The following is a 21,897-nucleotide window of genomic DNA, read 5'->3' on the forward strand; positions in this document are numbered from 1 at the left end:
TTCAAATTTAGTTCCTGCCGATATCTTAGGTGAAGCTCCTATGCCAAGTGTGCCACTCTTGGCCTGCCCCTCCCCACTCCCAGCTCCAGGCCTGTGCAGAGACAGCTCACCTAGAACAGTGCTTCCCCCTTTCACTTCTTCTGCTTCTCGTCCCACATCCACTCCTTCGAGGCTTATTTAAAGACTGCCTCTTTCACAGAACCTGCTTGCCTATGGTCTCAGTCTCTTTTTCCTCTGTGGCCGCTCTATCTGCTCAACTGTATAAAGAAAAAGTCTAGAAAATTAATTTAACTTTTCATGTTTTTCTGCCTAAATTGGCAGATTTTAAAGACACGACCATGTCATATTCTTTTTGTATCCATGTTGTTATCCAGTGACTAGCAAAGTTCTAGACACATACTAGGCAGTAAATAAATGCTGAATGAATATCACAGTAAATACTTCAGAAGAACAGTGACCATGAGAATCATATAAAGCACCTATGAACATTGTTAAAAATTGTTATAATTATTACACACACACATACACACATATACACACACACTTAATTCAGCTCTGAGGAGACCAGAATAGAGTAAACTGCTTCCTTATTTGAAAATCAGTAAGTACTTTTATTTGTGTTGCCTTCCTGGTTTATCTTAAGCAAAGAAGAAGAGCAAAACACATAGAAAAGAAATTGCTTCAGGGTTGCAGTATAACTGCCACAAGAAACCCCTGACTTGTGTTCATAGCAAAGGAAGAGTTACCAGGTTATCCTCCCAGAAATCCAACAAAGAATGGAAATAATTGATTTTTCTAGATTTTTTTTTTGTATAGCTGAGCAGATAAAGAGGCTATATAAATATATTCCTATAGTCTATAATGAAGGTTTTTATTAGTGGATTAAAATGAACAATGTCTTAGAACATTTATAGCCATTCAAATATATTACAATGGATGTTAAGTTCCTGTGATTTACACACACACAGACATGCACACGCATGTATAAATTGCTCTGTTTTGCTTCAAGCATTCATTGTATCAGCTTTGCCATTGTGTTATTAACTGTGGTGTTAGGCAGGCCCTTTTGATGACTTTGGGTCTCAGTTTCTTCTGTTACATGACAGGTTGGAAGAATACAAGATTGCTAAAGTGTTTTCCAGCTCTAGCATATAAGATCATGAGGTAGGTCTGAAGGTCAGGAGCATTCACCCACTGATGGGGTTTTAATTCTGACTTACAGAGTAGGAAGAATGGCCGTGTTGCTGATGTTGCCCTAGATTAAACACAATAAAAAGGATCTTTAATAAATCTTAGCACTGATACTTCGGCATACCTGCAGGAGCCTTTCCTCCCTGTATGTTTTCTCTTTGTCACTCTGGGGACACTTCTGGTCTTGTCTGTCTGTCTCTTGCTCTCTCTGCCTCTCTCCACACAAAGGTGTACAAAATCAGAAGTGTGTGCAAACCAGTGAGAATGAGAAACACACTGGGATGGGGTGACTGGTCAATTTGCATAAGTTCCAAAAGTTCCATTCTCCCAATAGTTTGTGAATGGGATAGTTTGTGAAAGGCAGGCTGCAAATTGACAAGCACACTGCAAATATGAGGAGATATTTTAAGTAAATAGAGAAAATTCAGTTTGCCCTCTCATTCCTTCTCAAGGCACAAAGCTCAGGGGCAGGAGCAATGCCGGGAAAGTCCTTGGCCCTTGGGGTGTACTTCTCCCTTCTTTGGCTCTCCCACCTGGGAGCTGGATAACTCAACAGTGGAATGAAACCTCAATGAAGGGAATTATACCATGATGTCAAGCAGTGAACATGAGTCTACTTAATCCAAGCCAACAACTCAGCCACAAATTTAATAAGGGTGGTGGGGCGGGGAGACCCAGCAACACAAAAACAAAGAACTCTCAACTTTACAAACACTGGGAGGGCAACAGCTGGTCAGCCGAGATTAAAGGAGCGTGAGAGAGCACCTCCCATCTCCTGACTTCTCCTCCCCCATAGACGTCCCTGCAGCCAGCCAGGGCTCGCTTTTTACAGCCCTGTGCAGATGACCTTGTTCCAGCTAAGATAGGAGCTCTTTTGATCTCAGCAGGGGGATGCTCTGGGCCTGCAGCTGGCAGATATTAATAGTACAGGATCTGTTGGGGTGGAAGAGATCTCTCGGTTGGGCCAGGTCACTTGTATTCCCTCCTCTGCATCAGAGCAGAAGGGACTTCATTTCCCTGAGTCAGCCCCTGCTGCGTACTACTCCTCTTAGGTCAACTCAGATCATTTTATCGCTGGCTGCTCTTGGCTGCTTGTTCTCACCTCACAACTGTTTTCAAGGGAGCACTGTTTAAGCAGTGTACTGTGCACTGCAGCTGAAATCTATTACAGGACAGGGTAGACCTTGCCCCCCGCCCCCAAATCCCAGTGTGTGTCTCATACTCACTGGTTTGCACACACTTCTGATTTTGTATACCTTTGTGTGGAGACAGGCAGAGAGAGCAAGAGACAAGATCTGAAGTGTACACAGAGTGAGAAAGAGACAGCAATACAGGAAGGGGAGACTGTTGCAGGTATGCCAGAGTACCAATGCTAAGATTTCTGAAGGTCCTTTTTGTTGTGTTTAGGGCAACATCAACAACACAGTCATTTTTCCCACTCTGTAAATCAGAATTAAACCCTATCATTGGGTGAATGTTTCTGATCTTCAGGCCCTCCTTATGATCTTAACTGTTAGAGCTGGAAAAGACTGTAGCAATCTTCTAGTATCCACTCTGTCATTCAACAGAAGAGATAGGGACAGAAATAAGGATTTTTTCTACATTGTTCTAGACTAGGTACTTTGAGTCACAGTATTTTCTTCTTCAGATTTCATTTCATTGACAGAAGTTCAGACATATAGGTTATTATAGAGTTCCCTGCTCAGTTATTGTGACTGTTGTGTGGCCAAGGACACATTTCTTAGCCCTTGCCAATTCTTCCTTATGGTCATTGGAGATACTAAGAACTGTTGGACCTCAGTCATAGGTAACATCTCTTTCCCCCAGAGTGATTAATAGAGAAGGGATCTAACAGTCCAAATGGCCTAAGATGCCATATCCTATTCCAAAGTCACCTGGGATTTGAGCAGAACCAGATGAGTGCCCACCTACAGTTGGTAGGTGAGATTTGACAAATGGTAACAGTGAGCCCTGTGCAAGATTGAAGCTATAGACCATTGGCTTGCTTTCTTCTGACGATTTAACAGAGTAGCAGTTACTTCATTATGGTGACATGGCCCACTTCAGGAGTTCCACATGGCTTTATGGAAAAGAAGACATTATTAGGCTGCCATCTTGGTATTCCCAGCATCTGGCATGTTGTATCCTGTTTTCTGCATTACTTGTTTTCCGATAGACCATAGCACATGAAAACTAAAAATGTAAAATGTGTGGATAGGTCAAGGAAAGAACACAAGAGAAATAGCAGCACTTCCTAGAACCAAGAGTGGTTTCTAGTTTTATTGTTGGAAGGCTTTCTATTCTGGTTGGAGTCAGGGGAATTGATGGCTGATTTCATGTGCAAGAGAAAGTATTTGGGGATTCATATTCCCTACCAAACCATCCCTGCGAAAAGCTGGAGTCCATTTGAAAGATTATATGCAAGTTTGTGGCTTGTGTTCTCTTTTAAAATAAGTTCAACAAGCAAGACAGCTCAGAATGGTTGGGACAAATCAGAGACTCATGGTTGTGAAAGAAGCAAACTTCAAAGCGCGGTATGAATTTTCAAGTCTTATTTCCACTCTTGCTTTCCAGCTGGATCTGCTCTGGATTTACTGCAGGATGTTTGAAAATGTGGCTCCCTGCTAATCTCAGACAGTTGCTATGATCAATGGTTTCTTTCATTTCCGATAAAAAACACTGGTGTTTCTACTTAAATTGTGTGTATTTTCAGCTTTATTATTATAGTTATGATTTATTGTCCTGCATTACCCAAATTTGTAATCCATTAACCACAGACTTTGGGGTGGGTTGGTCAAGTTAGCAGAAATCTCTACATGCTTTAGCTCCAAGGCCCTTCACAGCCCAATCTCAGACTAAATGTTCATTGGTTTGTGTAGGGCCATGTACCAACGGGTATGAGTGGAGTAGTTTTAAAAATCCACTCCTTGGGGGTATGGTGCAAGTTGGCTGTAATTAGTACTTTGAAAGCCTAAGGTGTCACCATGTGACTACAAAGTTAATATTAACAACTATGATCAACATTATTAACATTAGCTTTTCCATAGTATTTTTAATTGTCTTAAAATGATGAATTTCTTAATCTACCTCAAGCAACTGAAGCATGAAGGAGAGAAGAGAATTGCTGAAAGGCCACACAGTGAGAGCTGGTGTGCTGGGAACAGAAGTCAGAGCCCCTCCCGTGAAGTTTTAAATTTGGTTACTGCTGCCTCTTAGGAGTGAGTTTTGGATAAAAATGTTTAAGTGTCCTGGTGACCTTTCAGTTTTTGTTTCCAAAGCCATAGACTATATCAACACACACGATTTTACATGGTTCTATTCACAAGGGCACACGCCGGCCAGTGCTCTACTTCCCTGGTATTCAGGAGTCCATAGCACTTGACTGGGCATATGTCTTCCAGCAGCTGTTCAGATGCCATGAAAGGCCTGATTTATAGAAAAAGATTAAAAGCACCAAAAAATGTGTGGTATTCGGCTAAAGAAAGCTTAAATATTATGTGAGTAGGGGAGGCTAGAGTTGAGAGGAGATGGGCACAGCCTGCAAATGTCAGAAAAGCTGTAAATCCCAAAAGGGAGAGGAATGTGTTGAGGATTTTCAGCCTGGAGGCCAGGGGGCAATGTAACCTCAGCTGGGAGAACAAAAGGAGAAAGGGAACATTAAAGTCAACCACCAGGAAGTGCTTCTTGGTCAGGAGCTCTGTTTTGCTGGTGCTAGTTTGTCAAAAGGAGGCACATTTGAAGCACAAGATGCATTACAATCAAGTTAGATGAGAGCCAGAGAGGTTTCTTTGGGGAGCAGTCCTTGAGGTAGTTTGTGTGGGAGTTGGGCTAGCTTTAAAAGTAGTTTCCCCTCACCCTCAAATCTTTTTACCGTCTAGAATTTACTGTCTAATTTCTCAAATCTGCACTGTTTCTGTTAAGGTCTCAATGTCAAGAAAGCTGGAGGGACAAAAACACCAAGGCATCTTTGTCAGTTGCCTCAGCTAGAGAGGTGACGACAGGGCCAAAAGCCGAGAGAATGGGATGCCAAGAGGTGGTGTGATCCCAGAGGCCTTCAAGTTAGAAGGACTCTCTGAGAAGAGATCCTTGTTTTCCATCACTGCAGAGAATGCTATACCAAGGGCGAGAGGCCTCTAGGTCAGAGATCATAAAGAAGAAAAGAATGGCTGGATTTTAGGGGTGGTGCCCAACGATTAGTTTGTGTTGTAATGTGGCATGAAGCGTCTTCAGAATGCATTTGCGATGTTTACTGGGATTTGGAAAAGGATCGTAACAAGGTCTAGCAAGGCAGTCTAGCCCAAGGAGGGTCCAGTTGAGTTCCGAACTAGTTTCTGATATCTATCCCTTCCAAAACTGCATGTTTAATTAAAGAACAGCCCTCCTCTATCTTCCCCAGATAGAGGAGGGCTGTTCTTCAGTCGAAGATATGGAGTGGTTGTGTTTCTCTACCAAAACCTTTATTCCATTTTCTCAAATTTTAGCATACATCAGAATCACCTGGGGGGCACATTAATACACACATTATGGACCATATACTGTATGCCTGGCATCGTATGTTTATTATCTCATTTAGTCCTCACAACCACCCTCTGAGGATAGTGCAGTTGGCCCTCCTTATCCATGAGTTCTGCATCCATAGATTCAACCAACCATGAATCAAAAAATAGTAGGGGAAAAATGGATGATTGCATCTGTACTGAACACAGACCTTTTTCCTTGTCATTATTCCCTAAACAGTACAGTATAACAACTATCTACATAGCATTTACACTGTATTAGGTATTATAAATAATCTAGAGATTATTTAAAGTATCCAGGAGGATGTGTGTAGGTTACATGCAAATACAGTGCCATTTTATATAAAGGACTTGAGCATCCATGGATTTTGGTGTCTGCAGCGGGCCCTGGAATTATTCCCCTGCAGATACTGAGGGACAACTGTATTAATTATCCCATTTTGTAGATGAAGGAACTGGGGCTTAGAAGGCTACACAATTAGTGGCAGAGTCAGGATTTCCACCTAGGGAGACTGGCTCCAGAGGTACATTTTTATCCACTAAGCTCTTTTGTAAGGATACAATTGAGATTATCATGACTATGTATAAATAGGAACTAAAAGACAGCCAGATCACATGGGTATTGGGAAGGTTGAAACTTAGGTTATTCTCTTCATTTATCTCATCTCTGTCTTGCCTTTCCATGACACTGACACTTGACTTTATGATCTAATTGACCCATTTTATCTTTCACACCTAGTAATTGTGTTCATGGGTTGCCTTTTCATCCATTCAGCCATAACAGTAAAGAAGATGGCCAGTACACCTATCCTTTCAGCAGGGTCCATTGATGGGGGGCATTTTCTTATAAGGGGCTATATATGAAGGACAGATTCCTTTTGAAGGGAGGTAAATACCCAAACATAACATCTAATAGAAGGACTTTGTCCAGCTGAGCAGATATTATAAGTTTGTTAAGTAGGACTGTGTAGCTCTGTTGACCCCTTTAGTCATTTTCATTCTCAGCATCTTCTCCTTCTTCCATTTATTATTTATTTATTTATTTAGAGACAGGGTCTCACTCCATTGCCCTCACTGTAGCCTTGGCCTCCCAGGCTCCAGTGATCCTCCCACCTCAGCCTCCCAAGTAGCTGGTACTACAGGCATGCACCACCATGCCTGGCTAATTTTTTCAGTTTTGTTTTGTAGAGACAGGGTCTTGCTATCCTGCCCAGGCTGGTCTCAAACTCCTGGCTTCAAGCAATCCTCCTGCCTCTACCTCCCAACATGCTGGGATTACAGGTGTAAGCCACCACGCCCAGCGCTCTCCTTTCAAATAAAAATTTTGATAGAAGTTACCTATCACTAGTCCATGCCATCAAGCCAATATACTGTTTTAAAAATGAAATGTAAAAATATTTTCTTTTAGCCCCAGGTAACCTGGCTCCTCCTTGATCTAATTTTCTTTATACCAATAATCAGCCTTTGAATTTGTCTTCAGGAGGGGAGAGACGTCTCTTCTGTTTATCCAGAATCCACTCGCTACTCTAAACTATTATTATCTGGTGAGATATGAGGCCTAAATTTAACCATGTATAAGTTACCTCATATTCAGGGACATATAACAGAGGCACATTAGCTAGCGCAGGCTGTCCCCATGGTCAGCCATGATCTATCCACTGCTTGAGCAAGGGAAGCCAGAGAAGACAAGAGGGCAGCTGGATAACTAAAATATGTGCAGTGGAGAACTCTGTGTCTGTTAGTTACATCCTTTTCATGATTTACGGTATACAAGAGCAAAATTACTCTCTACCCTCAGGGGAGTGTCTGAGTTTTGTGGGTTAAAAGCAAATGTATATGTGTATATGTGCAGTGTATGTGTGTGTGTTGAAGGTGGAGGTTCCCGTCTTTAATAGAAGGCCTTTTTAGGTTATGATGTTGATTTTTTTTAACCATACTTCCATCTAATAGGCTCATCAAAGCAGCTAAGGTAATCACATTTCCTGGCACTGTCATCTCCAGCTATAGAGGATGAAAGAAATCCAGTGGACAGGTTTAAGGAGACAAATGTTTTTTTGTTTTAAAATATGATGTTTAGGTAAATGAAGCTAGAAAAGCCTCAAAATAAATTCCTTCTGAGTAGGACTCTAGGCCAGAGATAGAATAAGCAATTGAAATCTTTCAATGTAGACCCCAGAAAACAAACAACAGTCGATAAGTGGCTGCCAGAGACCAAGGGGTGGATCCAAGGCCAGCCAGGAAGAAGTTTCTTCCTCCTTCAGGGACAAAACTAGAACTGAGGGAAACAGCTCTTGCCCTTTGACTGGATACTACAAAACTAAGGTAAACCAGCAGAAAGTCCTGTCTTAGGGTCATTAGAATGTGAGGTTTTTTTTTTGTTTGTGTGTTTTTTTTTTTTTTTTTTTTTTGAGACATACTTTTACTCCATCGCCCAGGCTGGAGTGCAGTGGCATGATCTCCACTCACTGCAACCTCCACCTCCCACACTCAAGCAATTCCCATGCCTCAGCCTCCTGAGTAGCTGGGATTACAGGCATGCACCACCACGCCTGGCTAATTTTTTTGTATTTTTAGTGGAGATGGGGTTTTGCCATGTTAGCCAGGCTAGTCAAACTCCTGACCTCAAGTGATCCACCTGCCTTGGCCTCCCAAATTGGTGGGATTACAGGAGTGAACCACTGCGCTTGGCCAGAATGTAAGTTCTTGTGGGCAGGAATTTTTGTCACTTTTGTTCAGTGCTGGATCTCCACATCTTAGAAAAGTGCTTGACAATAATAGTTAATAAATAATTGATGTTAATAAATACTGTATGATGAATGGCAATAGGCAATTCAGGGAACCATGTGAGAAAGGAAAGAACAGAAGTGGAACAGCTCAGCTTTTGAAGGAGAAATCTCCCACCTTCACACAAGGGTGGTGACTGAGTAGCTTAGTGTGATACACTATAATGATATTTATTAGCCACCTACCATCTGCTAGGTCATGTGTTAGACAGGTGCTTGGGACACATAGACAAATGCTACAGTCCCTGCTCTATGGGAAGCTCACAATCAGGGGAGGGGAAGGGCTGTGGCTATGACGGACAAGTAAGCAGGTTACATTTGGTGTCATGATGGCATTAGGTTTGGGATGTTTTTGGGGAACAGATAGGAGTCCTGGCTTGGGGATGGAGGCTCTCTAGGAACTTTACAACAAGGAGGCATGTGAAGAATTAACAGCAGTTCTTAATAGGAGAGAGAGAAGGGGAAAGTGCACCTGACAGAGGGAAAAGCCCCCGTCATGGAATCCAGGCAGGGGCCGGATTGCCGAGACCAGCTCGGTTGGGGAGACCCTAACCCAGTGGCGCTAGAGGAATTAAAGACTCACACAGAAATATAGAGGTGTGAAGTAGGAAATCAGGGGTCTCACAGCCTGCAGAGATGAGAGCCCCAAACAGAGATTTATCCACATATTTATTAACAGCAAGCCAGTCATTAGCATTGTTTCTATAGATATTAAATTAACTAAAAGTATCCCTTATGGGAAACGAAGGGATGGGCCAAATTAAAGGAATAGGTTGGGCTAGTTAACTGCAGCAGGAGCATATCCTTAAGGCACAGATCACTCATGCTATTGTTTGTGGCTTAAGAATGCCTTTAAGCAGTTTTCCACCCTGGGCAGGCCAGGTGTTCTTGCCCTCATTCCCATAAACCCACAACCTTCCAGCGTGGGCATTATGGCCATCATGAACATGTCACAGTGCTGCAGAGATTTTATTTATGGCCAGTTTTGGGGCCAGTTTATGGCAAGATTTTGGGGGGCTTGCTCCCAACAGAAAGGTCTTATTCCTCATGCTGATCAGTTTGAATTTTTTCCTGAGGGTAATAGGGAGCCATTGAAATAGGGAAGTATAAAGAAAATGTGGCACATACACACTGTGGAATACCATGCAGCCATAAAAAAGGATGAGCTCATGTCCTTTGCAGGGACATGGATGAAGCTGGAAACCATCATTCTCAGCAAACTAATCCAAGAACAGAAAACCAAACACCGCATGTTCTCACTCATAAGTGGGAGCTGAACAATGAGAACACATGGACACGGGGAGAGAAACATCACACACCAGGTTGGGGGCTAGGGGAGGTATAGCATTAGGAGAAATACCTAATGTAGATGACAGGTTGACGGGTGCAGCAAACCACCATGGCACATGTATACCCATGCAACAAACCTGCACGTTCTGCACATGTATCCCAGAATATAAAGTATAATAAAAAAAAAAAAAAAAAAAGAAAAGAAAAAGAAATACGGAAGTGACGGAGTCATTTTGTAGTTGGAAGCATTTTCTCAGGCAGCCATTTACAGGTTAGGGGGATGGAGATGAAACTATAGAACTTGGATTTTGATCTCTTTGAGGCAAGTCACTTTGGGGTGGGGTTAGCCCTAAACTTCTTAAAGCAATGAGAACTTTAGAATAAGTTTTAACCTTTCTGAGATGTTGGGTGGCCAGGTCTGGTTCTAGCTTCCTACCTTACCAACCCAGGAGAGATTTCTTTGGTATACCAGCCTTCTGAATAACATCAGGCGAGCCCTCCATTTATCAAGGCGCCTAACAGTTAGAAATGGTGTCAGGCTATCTATAACTCTGCTAGGATGTGAGAGAAAATAGCAAATGACTTAAAGTACTAAATGGAACTATGAGGGCTCTGTGTGGTGGCTCATACCTATAATCCCAGCACTTTGGGAGGCTGAGGTGGGCAGATCACTTGAGGCCAGGAGTTCAAGACCAGCCTGGACAACATGGCGAAACACCATCTCTATGAAAAATACAAAAATTAGCTGGATGTGATGGTGCATGCCTGTAATCCCAGCTACCCAGGAGGCTGAGGCACAAGAATCACTTGAGCCTGTGAGGCGGAGGTTGCAGTGAGCAGAGATGGCGCCACTGCACTCCAGCCTGGGCGAGAGAGCAAGACTCTGTCTCAAAAAAAAAAAAAGGCACTATGGAAATTAATACAAGTGTTATGTTCCTTTTGCTAATGATTGCAATAATAATATTGAGTGCCTATTATGCGTCAGGCACTATACTAAGCACATAAAAATGCAACAACTTAGTGGGGTTCAATTATCACCCTCAATTTAGAAACAAAGAAACTGAAGTACGAAGTATTTCCATAACTTGCTGATGATCGCATAACTAGTAATTAGTTGGCATTCAAACCTAGAGTCTTGCTCTAGAGTCTGTGCTCTTGACCAGTATACCATACTCAGCTCTTCAAGATGATCATACAACTACCTCAGCTAGAGCTTATGATCACATATTTCTGTCATTGTTAGATTTGAGAGGTTTCCATGCATCACTATAAGTGCAGCTGTTTCTTTATGTGTGCCCTGAAATCTCTATGCTGATAGTCAGTAGAAAAGCAGTGTGTTTTAACAGAAGCTGAAGCACTGCATTTAGAATTGGGAGACTTGTATTCAAGGACCAGCTTTGCCACAAACCATCTGTACTATTTTGAGCAAGGCACTTAACTTCCCTGGACCTCAATTCCCTCAGCTATACACATAAGAGCTTGCATTAGGTGAAGCTGGCAGGCCTTTCAGTTTGCTTCTTCTGTCACATTCTGTCTTCGGTGAGCAAATTGGTATGTTCAAGCCTCAGACAGGCTTCTCTGTTCACCTCTTGAAGAAGGCTGGACCAACCCATCTATGAGCATTTTGTCACATTTCTTTTGTCACTGTTATTATATTGGATATCTAGAGCAGCAATCTTTTGAATCTATAACCCATCATTTTTTAGCATATTGCCCCAAAGTATGGAAAATTGCTGCCAAAAACTATAGTGCTACTATATAAAGTTATATAAAACACACCAGAAATAGAATTTTTAAAATATGAAGTGGGTTCTAGTATTTTTTCCCTACATCCCGTTGAGTCATTGTGATGTATTCCCACCACTTGGTATAGTTCAAATTTCTCCCTTCCTTGTTTTTACTGCAGAACTCTTTACTGTCCCAAGTAGAGTGAGACTGAAACCAAAATTTGAGCACTGGGTCCATTCATTCAATTGTTCATTCATTTACACGTTAAGTATGAAGCATCTATAATGTGAAATGCTTGCTGAATTTTCAGGAGGCCATAAGAACGGTATCAGGCTTGGCCTCTCCCCTCTCAAACATAAAGGCTAATTCTAGTGTTTTTCAGTTTTATCTGGTTGGAACCCTAGAATTCCTGCATACTGTAATGAAGCTAAACTTTACATCTAAACTGGCTATATGTATTGCACTACAGTGCATAAGACAAGAAAAGTTACAAAAAGAAGGAAAATCCAGAACGTGAGGCCCACAGACATGAAACAGTTGAAGTCACACTGTAGTACAGCATCTAATGAATTGCCAGGATGAGAGAAGCAGATTTTTAATATCAGAGGCATTCACAGAAAGGAGAGATCATCATGATCTTTGTGATGGAGGCTTGGACCACTGCCTTAGGATGTCAGGGCAGAACTAAGATGGGCCCCTTGGTTGGTCTGTCCTGACTCACTGTGTCTGCAGTGCCTGGATATCAGCCAGCAGACCACCTCCATCATTGAGTTAGACCCACTTACAAGGTGGCAGGCTATTAACCAGTCCCCTGTTCCACTGAGAACTTGCCAGGCTGGCCATCATAGCATGGTATAGGTTGAAGTAGCTTAGTACCTGTGGTGGATGACTGTTTTTCTCGGCCAGCTGTTTAATGAGCACCAAATGAAGTAAAATGCTGCTTGGTTCCTCTCCTCTCTTCAGACACAAACAATCGAGCACATCCTAGTGGAAGGGCCGTGTTGGGGAACTGGCTTTCTTGTGCTGATCATCTTGGTTCCCACATCCGTCCCTCCCCTCTGGGCTAGAGTTTGGAGGAGCTATTGAAGAACCTTGAGAAAACTGTTAACCTTGAAAGTTTAGTTATTCATCATCAAATATATTAACAAACGTTTGTAGCCAAAGCTTTACTGTCTATGGCAGTTTTAAATAATTATCAAAATCATGATTTAATTAATTTCTCTCTCCATTTTGGGTTGGCTTAGAGGAGTAGGAGATTGCAATTCACAAGTACTTTCTGGTCCTGTAACCAACTTGCACTTTCAAGTTCAGGTAATCACCTTGTCCTTTTCAGTTTATTTACCCATGACTTAGGTTAAAGTTGCCCATGCCTCTGGTGAAATTCACAAATGAAACTTCACCTAGCTGGGTTTCATATTTGTAAGAAATCATTTTTTTTCTCCATGAGAATGTGCAGGTCAGCTGAGACAAGCATGATTAATTCTAGACATGAATTAGAACAAGCCCAAGCTGAACAGCTCTCTCAGAGGAAGTCATCTGAAATTGGTATGTGTGACCCAGTATATCTTTTGACCAATTTGCATTGGAAACCACAGTGAGCATGGAAGAAATATAACCTTGATCCTCTGGCCTAATAAACATTCTTGCAATTCTAAATGTACCTAGAGTTTGTGACAAGTGTGTATTGGAAAACTCGTTGAAAACACATGAGTTAGTAATGTTCTCTTTCAGAAGATGAACTTGCATGGCCGAAGTGAGATTCCAGTGGGAAAGACCTGGTAGAGAAAGAGTGGGAGAATGCGTTGACCTCTGGAGGGCAGATTATGGCATGCCAGGCAATGGGTTGTGCCATCAGGGAAGGAATCTAGAAAGACGAGGAGACTCAGGAGAAAGGAGATGACTTCTGTTGACAGGTCATTGTTGCTCAGACTTAGTGCAGATGAGAAAGGAAATCCAGAAACCTACATGACAGCTCCTCTTGGATTGGATGAAAATATTGATTTTTTTTTTTTTTCCCTATCTGGAATTTGACAGGGTCAGTTCATGTCTGGGTTTTCAGCACTTAATACAGGGCGCTTTTGTCTTGGGAGGCGGCTGGACTGGTTTTTCCTCCAGGCAGGTGCACAGAGGGCGTTTATTGTAGCCTGAAACACAAACACCAAGCCCCTAGGCCCTGATCCACACACTCTCCAGTGTGGCTCAAGGAAATAAAGTGAACAATGTCTCTTGCAACAGGCGAGCACTGTAAATGCCACTCCTGAATGATATATTTCTTAAAACTTTGTATCCGTAACCTGATCATCTCTTAAAACTTAATTATATGTCAGAGAAAAGGAAGCTATTGGCTCCTCCAGCTGTCCAGGTTGAACGAGAGCACACAATGGAGCATATCCGATTCACAGCCTTACTTAGGTAATCAGATTAATATCTCCTGAATTGAATTTACCCTTTTGATATGGAGTCTTTCAGCTGCCTTGTTTCACATCTCAAATTCTGACAAAGCTGTGCGGCCTTTGAGTAATTTCCCTGAAATCTATATGTGGGAAGCCTGTACTTCAAGCAGTTTTTGGGACTTGCACCAATTAAATCTGTCTCTGGCACACTTTTAATGGCATGCTTTCCCCTGAGTCAACAACTGCTCCAAAATCTGAAGTCATTTGTTTAATTTAAAAGCAAAGGTTATGGAACAACCATTTCAAGCTTCACCAGCCAAACTCCAGTGGCTTTGAAAAGGGAGATGAGGCAGAGGAAAGGCTAATAAACTGGATTTCTTATACACAAAATAAATTAATTACTGTGTTTCTGTAAGCTAGTATCAAATCAAGTTTGTTCACACCCTCCTTGCCAACCTAGCTCTCCCTTTCTCTTCAAACTCACCCTCTCTGGGCTTTCATATTCACGATTGAGGCTCACCCTCTTACTGTTGTTCTTGCAACACAAACATCTGGACTGGATTTTTGTCAGCTGGAGTTGAGAGAGAACTGTAAATGATGCAGTGATTTTTTTTTCGTCCTTATTAAATTTATTTATAGCCAGTCTGAAGCCAGGAAACATGCTAGAGCCTTTGATTGGAGGTTCTCGAGGAATGTACGGTGGATGGTATTTTCTCCTGTTGTTTTCTAAATAATATCAAGGATAGAATTACATAACTCCCAACTTGAGTATTTTTTGCCCTGAAGGACCCTTTATTAGGACATTTTGCACATCAGAATTCTTCCATTATATTTGCTTATCCAATATGCCTTCTTTTCTGTCAGTGAGAGAAAAGGAAATGTACATGACAGGTTATTTCTGAAAAATTAGAAAGATGGAGAGTGAGTTTCTGGTTGTTTGGGACATGAACCAGTGGCATGAGTATTTTCTTTTGCCAAAGGGACACAACATGGATCCTATTTCTACCTCTTAACAACCTCTGCAATCTTAAAGCTGCCAAATCTCAAAGAATTTCATTCATTTAGTCATTATTTAAGATAATAAAAGGCCCTACAAGCAGCTTACGAAAATAATTTATAAAATATTTTTCTCTGCCCTTAGACCTTGTTAAATAACAATGCCTTGGTGTTTATAAAATTATTTAAGAAACAAAACTTTCTAGAGGAGGCTGAATCAGATGATGATTTCTTGAGGTCCCTTCCCAGTTCTATGATTTGAGATGATTCTTTAATTTTCCTTCACTGTCATTTATATCTGTGTCATTAAAAAAAAAAAAAAAAAAAGGGCTGTTTGGGAATGAGATTTGCTACACCCGTAGGCATTTTCTTCTTCAGAAAAGAGACTGTTTAGCTTTCTGCCACCCAAGTCAGTCATCCTCAGCCTGAACAATGGAGCTTAATGTTCTCCATCTTCCTAAGAGTTAGTGTCTGTTGTTATGAAAGTGAATTGAAACCAAATGTACTTTCTATTGGAAAAGCTGCCCTTGCTCTCAGCTCATGGACAAAACTGAGAGAGAAGGCTCTTACAAAACAGAGGGAAAAATCCTCGCTGTCATGTCATAACACCAGTTATTTCACTGTTAGACCTATGAACATATCTTTGATGCAACACTACACTATTTGATGATGTTTCTGTGTCACTTAAGATGGGCGTTTCATATTTATCTCTTAGAAATGTTAGCAGATTTTTTTCACGAGTTATCTTGCTTATGGACTGGAAAAGCTATTCTTACAGTAAGACCCTTCATTAACTGAGAAGGCATAAAAGATAGCTCATGTTCTCCACCAAGAAAGGAAGCTCTGTTTCTCTCTGTCTGATGGGAAGCATTTGAGACAGAGCAGCTTCATGAAGTGTGGATGTCTGTTACCCACTTCCCAGTTTTTAAAGTAAAAGCCAAGTCAATGGCACTGGTACTTGTAGTGAAATGAGCCACAGAGGCATCATTACTCATCACCATCACGACTCAAGGATCAGCAAATGAGAGTCCTGAAGGTAAAGAATGTTTATTTTCAGGTAGAGAAGAAAGAAAAATCACGGAGAGGTAGAGAAAAGTGAAGGGCAAAGGAAGAATCCAGCAGACATTAAGCAACACTGTATCTTCCAAGATCATAAAGCCAAATAGTTCCTGCTAGATTTAACTTTTATTATTTTGGGAGATGAAAATCACTGGGGCATGGAGTTCTCATTCTGCATTTAGGAACTTCCATAATATTTTAATAATAACAATAATGATAATAATGCCAATCACTTTAATTAAATCTCCCTAAATAAGCATCTTTTAATGCAGTGTTGTTTGCTGTAAAACATCCCAACTAATGGTAGAGGCTGGATGTCTGCCAAAGACATGGTGAGGGAACCGCCACAGAGCCGCTGGTATTGGACCCTGGCAGAGCTGGTTCCTCTAGCCAAAGGAAGTGAATAATCATGGGGAAGTGGTTATTCCAGCTGTGACACTCAGGAAATTTCAGTAGAATGTGATGGCCTTATATATGGAATATTCTTAGACATACTAGGATGGCACATGTAAATTATCATGGGAAACATAATTTGAGGAATACAGAAGATTATAAGGTATTATTTGATTCAGGTTTTTTTATGTTAGTTTGGAGCCATTGTCAGGCATGGAAATACTTTCATTGATATTCCTGTCTTCTATAATTCAAGGCCTTAATAATAAACTGGTTTTGAATCAATCAGTTGTCTGATAGACGGCTCCTGGGAAGACTGGAGAGCCTTATGAGGGTGCCCACCTCTCTCCTGTGTAAAAGGCCCTTCACTCTGGCAGCTTCACTCTTGGGTGGTGTTGGGTAGAAGTAAGATCAGATACCCTGCTCACTGTAGGATGGAAGGGATCACATCAAAGCTCTGAGGGCTGTTTTCCCCTTAGGCATCCAAACCTGATTTCCTCTTATCACCTGATATGAATTTTCGACTGTTTCACTTTTTCCTTCTCTGTGCTTGTGTTTTTTACAAAACCATGAAGCCTGTAAACCACACGGTAGATATGATCACAACAATATTAGTGGAGAACCCCATGCTGTTGTCAGTATCACCATCATAGGTATGAGTGCTTGATGCAGGGTGTGAGGGGGAAGGGGGCAGTCTTTTTAAAAAGCAGGTCACGGCTGGACGTGGTGGCTCACGCCTGTAATCCCAGCACTTTGGGAGGCCGAGGTGGGCAGATCACTTTAGGTCAGGAGTTCAAGACCAGCCTGACCAACATGGTGAAACCCGTCTCTATTAAAAATACAAAAATTAGCTGGGTGTGGTGGTGCACATCTGTAATCCCGGCTACTCGGGAGGCTGAGGCAGGAGAATCACTTGAACCTGGGAGGCAGAGGTTTCAGTAAGCAGAGATCACGCCACTGCACTCTAGCCTGGGCCACAGAGCAAGACTCCATCTCAAAAAATTAATTAATTAATTAAAAATTAAGAAGCAGATTACCTTTGAACCTGTTTAGATAGTGGTCTTCCATCCATCACCTCTTAACTCCTCATCTCCCATTTTCCCAACCCCACACACCTCATCTTTGCATGGATGAAGTGCAGTCTCTCCAGAACGTTTTTGTGAGTGGAGGGATGCAGAGTAGATTGTCGGTGCCATGTCTACGTTGTTAACTGCAGTCCAACATGTAATCTAGTTAAAAAAAGAAAGAAAAGAAAAACCCATAAAATAAATTTTAATAGACTACCCCTAGGCAACTTTGAAGAGGAAATCATTGCAAGAAAATGAGACTTACTAAATAGGCCATTTGAGAAGCAGGCAATGGCTATTTTAAAGGCTTGAGGTTTTAATATATGTATATGCCTTTTTTCCCTCATCTCTTGCAAATAAATAATGGTTTACATCAGGAGACAATTCAGGAAAAAAGCCTTTTAAAAAATTTTCAGGAAATCTGGCCACCGTGTTTCTGCAGCCACTGATAAATGACAATGCCACCAGCAGTGACCTAGGACATCCTGAATTCTTGCTCTTCTGAAGAGCTTGCATTCTCTTTTCAAAGGGTATCCTGTTCCTATTGCAATCTTTAAGCTATCTCAGCTCAAGATCACCTTTTTTCCTTTTATTATCATACTTAAAACAGCACTAGTGCTGTTAAGAAGACTCCACCCATAGATGTTGATGTCATTTGTGAGGAGGACAAGATTTAAAGAGAAGGTAACTGGGCCAGGTGTGGTGGCTTAAGCCTGTAATCCCAGCACTTTGGGAGGCCGAGGCGGGTGGATCACTAGGTCAGAAGTTCAAGACCAGCCTGGCCAACATGGTGAAACCCTGTCTCTACTAAAAATACAAAAATTAGCTGGGCATGGTGGCATGTGCCTGTAATCCCAGCTACTCGGGAGGCTGAGGCAGGAGAATTGCTTGAACTGGGACCTGGGAGGTGGAGGTTGCAGTGAGCCAAGATCGTGCCACTGCACTCCAGCCTGGGCTGCAGAGCAAGACTCCCTCTCAAAAATAAATAAATAAATAAATAGAAGGTAACTGGATATTGGCCCCAAACATATTCTAATTCAGCAAACAGACCCATTGAAACTCAGCATTGTTATTTCAATTCATGTTGTACAAATCAACTAAATACAATTTTGTCTATTTTCAGGGATAACTGAGTGTTCTTCATCCACAAAGGCCCAAGTCCGTATAGGACAGTAGCACAACGGGGAAGAAATGTGTGTTTTTTTTTGTTTTGTTTTGTTTTTTAGTGCTGATGAAAGGTGTTATATCCAAGGGTAAGTTATAAACAGAGAAGCTGTTTCTGATTGTGAAGATTGGCTCAGCCTGCACTGACACTTCTGAAAAGGTGGAAAGAGCAAAATCGCAGTTCCCTAGAGTCTCTCAGTTGTGTGATATCCATGCATGTTCGGAGCAGAATGTATAACGGATCCACCGTTCTGCTTCTCTGCTGTCTTCTAGTTTAAAACATGTTGCAGGCTAAAATGCAGAGGGAGAAGATTCTATTGGTTTACTCATCCAGTTATTAAGACAAGGATGGGATGAAGGATCAGTCTTCACAGACCTGCAAATTCCCTCCAGTATTGACCCTGTTGTTGCCTGAGGGCAGCTGGGTCAACAGGTATAACCTCCCTTTTTTTCCCTGAACAAAGGTAGCTGGACTTTCAAGGAAAAAAAAATAATCCAGCCCTGGTAATCACACAAACAGTTCTCAAAGCTCAATTAAACTAAAATGCCTTGTTTCAGTTTCTTTCCACAGTTTATAGATTTTACCAGCATAATTATCAAACTTTAAATGTTTCTCTCTTCCATTGTCTTGTTCTGTTTGGTTCACCTGGTGATGTTTGTTATAGCCTTTCTATTTGAGGAATTAGTGGAAGATAAAATGTTGCTAAGAGCAATTTCGTTAGTATTGAAAATAGCAGGAAAGAAATAGAGGGAGCAGCCATTGTTAGCAAAGTAGCCTGGTTATGTGTATTAAGCTTGGGAAAGAATTAAGGCCATTTGGTCTATTGATGCAAAATACCTTCGTTTTACTAACCACAGAAAAAGCCCTTGGTTGGGTTGTCTTGAGTAGTTAGAACTGGGGGTGGCCAAGATGACTGGTTGCTGATTTCCAGCACTGTGCATCAACCACCAAATGATTTTAACTTTCAAAGTTTATGGGGAAAGGGTACGATATGAATTTTGAGGTTTTTGCTGCTTCTTATGCAAAACATTATTTCGGTTTCAAGCAGCTGATCACAATTGCAACTGCTTATACCTGGTGAATTATAATATTCTCTATGGGAACTGCACTGCATGTCTGTGGGGGCCGTCCCATCTGCCTCCTTTGTGAATCTCTTCTCCTTTCAGTGCCTCCTAACTTGGGCCCCAAAGAGGGGTACAGCAGCTGAATGTCATTCTCTTGGGCTGTGGCCCAGGCATGCATCTTTCTGGAAGGATGACTGAATCCCATTCTTAAATCTGAAGTTCCTCTTGATTAGCGGCTCCTTTTGTTTGTTGTTTTTAACGGCATTTCTGTCTTTCATGGGTAGCTTACAGGGATGTGTTTTAGAGCCCCTTCCAGCTGGGAAGCCGCCCAACTCCCACCAGCTGAGTCGGGGGATGGCTTCCCTTTAGTTCCGCTGCTGTCTGTGGACTACAAGGACTCCACTTCCAGCCCCAGCAACAGTGGCCCTTGTCTGCTGTGCAAACTTGGCTCTCTTCTCTGGGTTTTCATTCTCCAGCCATCTGGGCATTTTGGGCACCCCTCTTATCTTAGTACCTTGGCACTCAGGACCACATGTCATCCTATCATAGAGATGCAAACAAAGGAATCCTTCACCTCTAGCTTGCAGTTCCCCTGGAACCATCATAGATTGAGTGACAATCAGGGAGATGGGGGCTTGGGCATTGGTCTTGAGTGATATAAATGGTTTTTCTAATAGAAGGCATTTGGAATGGGCTGACAATAGCTAGGATTGTTCACTACCAGGATTCTTAGTGCCTAGCTTCCTCCTTTTTCTCTGGCTATCTTGAAATCTAGGAGGAAGGAGCTAAAGACCCCGTGGCCTCTGATTGCCATAGCCTCTCTAGGCCTGGAAGCTTCAGCTTAGGGACTAGAATACTGCTGTGTGCCAGAGCAGTTCATCTAGCTTCCTATTAAGAATTCTATGTGCATTACCCACTTTTAAAATTCCTCCTCCTACTTCCTCAACTTCTGGCTTGGGGAGGGTTTGATCAGAGTCATTCTCTCTTCAGAGAAGCATCTGGAAAGATTGATCCAAGAGTGCTGATAGCAAGTTCGCTATCATCGCCCTGCCTCGAGGAAAATAAGCATTCGATAAAAGGACACTTCCACTGCCCAGTTCACTCCTACTCCACTGTGTCTTCTCCTGTCCCTCCCCCTACCCCTCTGACCCCTGCACTCATTCTGATCCCTCTTCCTGCCCGAATGTCTCTCAGTGGTCAACAAGGCATGAGCTAGCCAAAGAAAATGCAACCAAATAGTGTTAATCACTTCCATTTAGACCTCAGTAGTCAGGTGGGGCTGCAGGTCTTTGAAAGGCAGACTTAAAATGCTTGCCTCTTTTCAGCGAATCTGATTTTACATTTGGCTGCTGATCATTCAGCCCCTGGCATTTGTTCATACATTGGAAGCCCAAAGCTTCCACACAGTTGAGTCTACAGAGCAGAGTAATATTAACAAGACTTATCTTGGTTATGATGCCAAAACCATGGTGCCACTTCATTTCACACCAAAGTGGATGGATCTTATTTATTTATTTTTTAAGAGTTGAGGCAGCACAGAGAAGCTCAGAGATTCATTCAGGATCATCCACTGTGTCCAAGCTTTGATCCTCTGGCCCTTATGACAGGCAATGATGGTTCAGAGTACAGACAGAGCTCCTGTAGAGCGTGCGACCAATTTAACTGGAACCATGGGTTCTTAATTACGACTTCCCCTCCCCACCCACTGCCACCACCATCCAGTTGCCAGAACCCAGTTGGTTTTCTGTGAAACGGCAGCTAGTGACACTTTGCATGGGTTCACCAGAAGGCCTTTCAGTCTTTGTCTCATTTTAATTGTGTATCTCAACCAAGAAGATCAACTCTCCACATGTAAAGTTAACTCCCTTTAGTTTTCAAAGTTTCTTTCCAAGAACCACCTATTGTCAGTCCCTCATCCTGTGTCTGGCAAACTTAGAAGAAACAATGAAGTTCACAGTACAGACTGAGCTCCCGAAGCACTGATCTTTTATGTATCTAAATGAGGGAAGAAGGAATGCATATTCTCTGGCACAAGCTGGCTCTACCATGTGATTTGAAGTAAATGGCCATTTTATTTCACATTAGGAGGAGAGACTTGGAGCAGTTTGGCAGCAGATCTGTAGCGGGTTATTAATCTAAGAACTATAGTTTTCTTCCACATAGGAGATTAAATACCCATCTTTCGTCAGATCAAAGCAGGCCTCTTGGACTATCTGATCTTTGCAAAAGGCCCCATGTTGGGCCAGCACAA

The 21,897-nt window shown here is 42.0% G+C and overlaps 1 protein-coding gene across 12 annotated transcripts in view, besides 8 other annotated features; it reads left to right on the forward strand.

The window, feature by feature from the left end:
* Positions 1-21,897, forward strand: part of RAD51B (RAD51 paralog B) — an 863,318-nt gene that overhangs the window by 473,720 nt on the left and 367,701 nt on the right. The gene's annotated exons all lie outside the window — the stretch shown is intronic.
* Positions 1,354-1,648: a silencer, noted in NCBI's record as "tiled region #10624; HepG2 Repressive DNase matched - State 5:Enh". NCBI's record gives its function as "represses a minimal TATA promoter and a strong SV40 promoter by Sharpr-MPRA in HepG2 cells {active_cell/tissue: HepG2}" and the evidence as "EXISTENCE:reporter gene assay evidence [ECO:0000049][PMID:27701403]".
* Positions 1,854-2,148: an enhancer, noted in NCBI's record as "tiled region #2571; K562 Activating non-DNase unmatched - State 5:Enh". NCBI's record gives its function as "activates a minimal TATA promoter and a strong SV40 promoter by Sharpr-MPRA in K562 cells {active_cell/tissue: K562}" and the evidence as "EXISTENCE:reporter gene assay evidence [ECO:0000049][PMID:27701403]".
* Positions 1,854-2,210: a biological region, named in NCBI's record as "Sharpr-MPRA regulatory region 2571".
* Positions 2,101-2,210: an enhancer, noted in NCBI's record as "active region_8601". NCBI's record gives its function as "activates an Ori minimal core promoter by ATAC-STARR-seq in GM12878 lymphoblastoid cells {active_cell/tissue: GM12878}" and the evidence as "EXISTENCE:reporter gene assay evidence [ECO:0000049][PMID:35858748]".
* Positions 12,904-13,043: an enhancer, noted in NCBI's record as "active region_8602". NCBI's record gives its function as "activates an Ori minimal core promoter by ATAC-STARR-seq in GM12878 lymphoblastoid cells {active_cell/tissue: GM12878}" and the evidence as "EXISTENCE:reporter gene assay evidence [ECO:0000049][PMID:35858748]".
* Positions 15,720-15,789: an enhancer, noted in NCBI's record as "active region_8603". NCBI's record gives its function as "activates an Ori minimal core promoter by ATAC-STARR-seq in GM12878 lymphoblastoid cells {active_cell/tissue: GM12878}" and the evidence as "EXISTENCE:reporter gene assay evidence [ECO:0000049][PMID:35858748]".
* Positions 19,700-19,749: an enhancer, noted in NCBI's record as "active region_8604". NCBI's record gives its function as "activates an Ori minimal core promoter by ATAC-STARR-seq in GM12878 lymphoblastoid cells {active_cell/tissue: GM12878}" and the evidence as "EXISTENCE:reporter gene assay evidence [ECO:0000049][PMID:35858748]".
* Positions 20,030-20,109: an enhancer, noted in NCBI's record as "active region_8605". NCBI's record gives its function as "activates an Ori minimal core promoter by ATAC-STARR-seq in GM12878 lymphoblastoid cells {active_cell/tissue: GM12878}" and the evidence as "EXISTENCE:reporter gene assay evidence [ECO:0000049][PMID:35858748]".

This window comes from Homo sapiens, chromosome 14, assembly GCF_000001405.40.
Source record: "Homo sapiens chromosome 14, GRCh38.p14 Primary Assembly".
NCBI classification, from domain to species: Eukaryota; Metazoa; Chordata; class Mammalia; order Primates; family Hominidae; genus Homo; species Homo sapiens.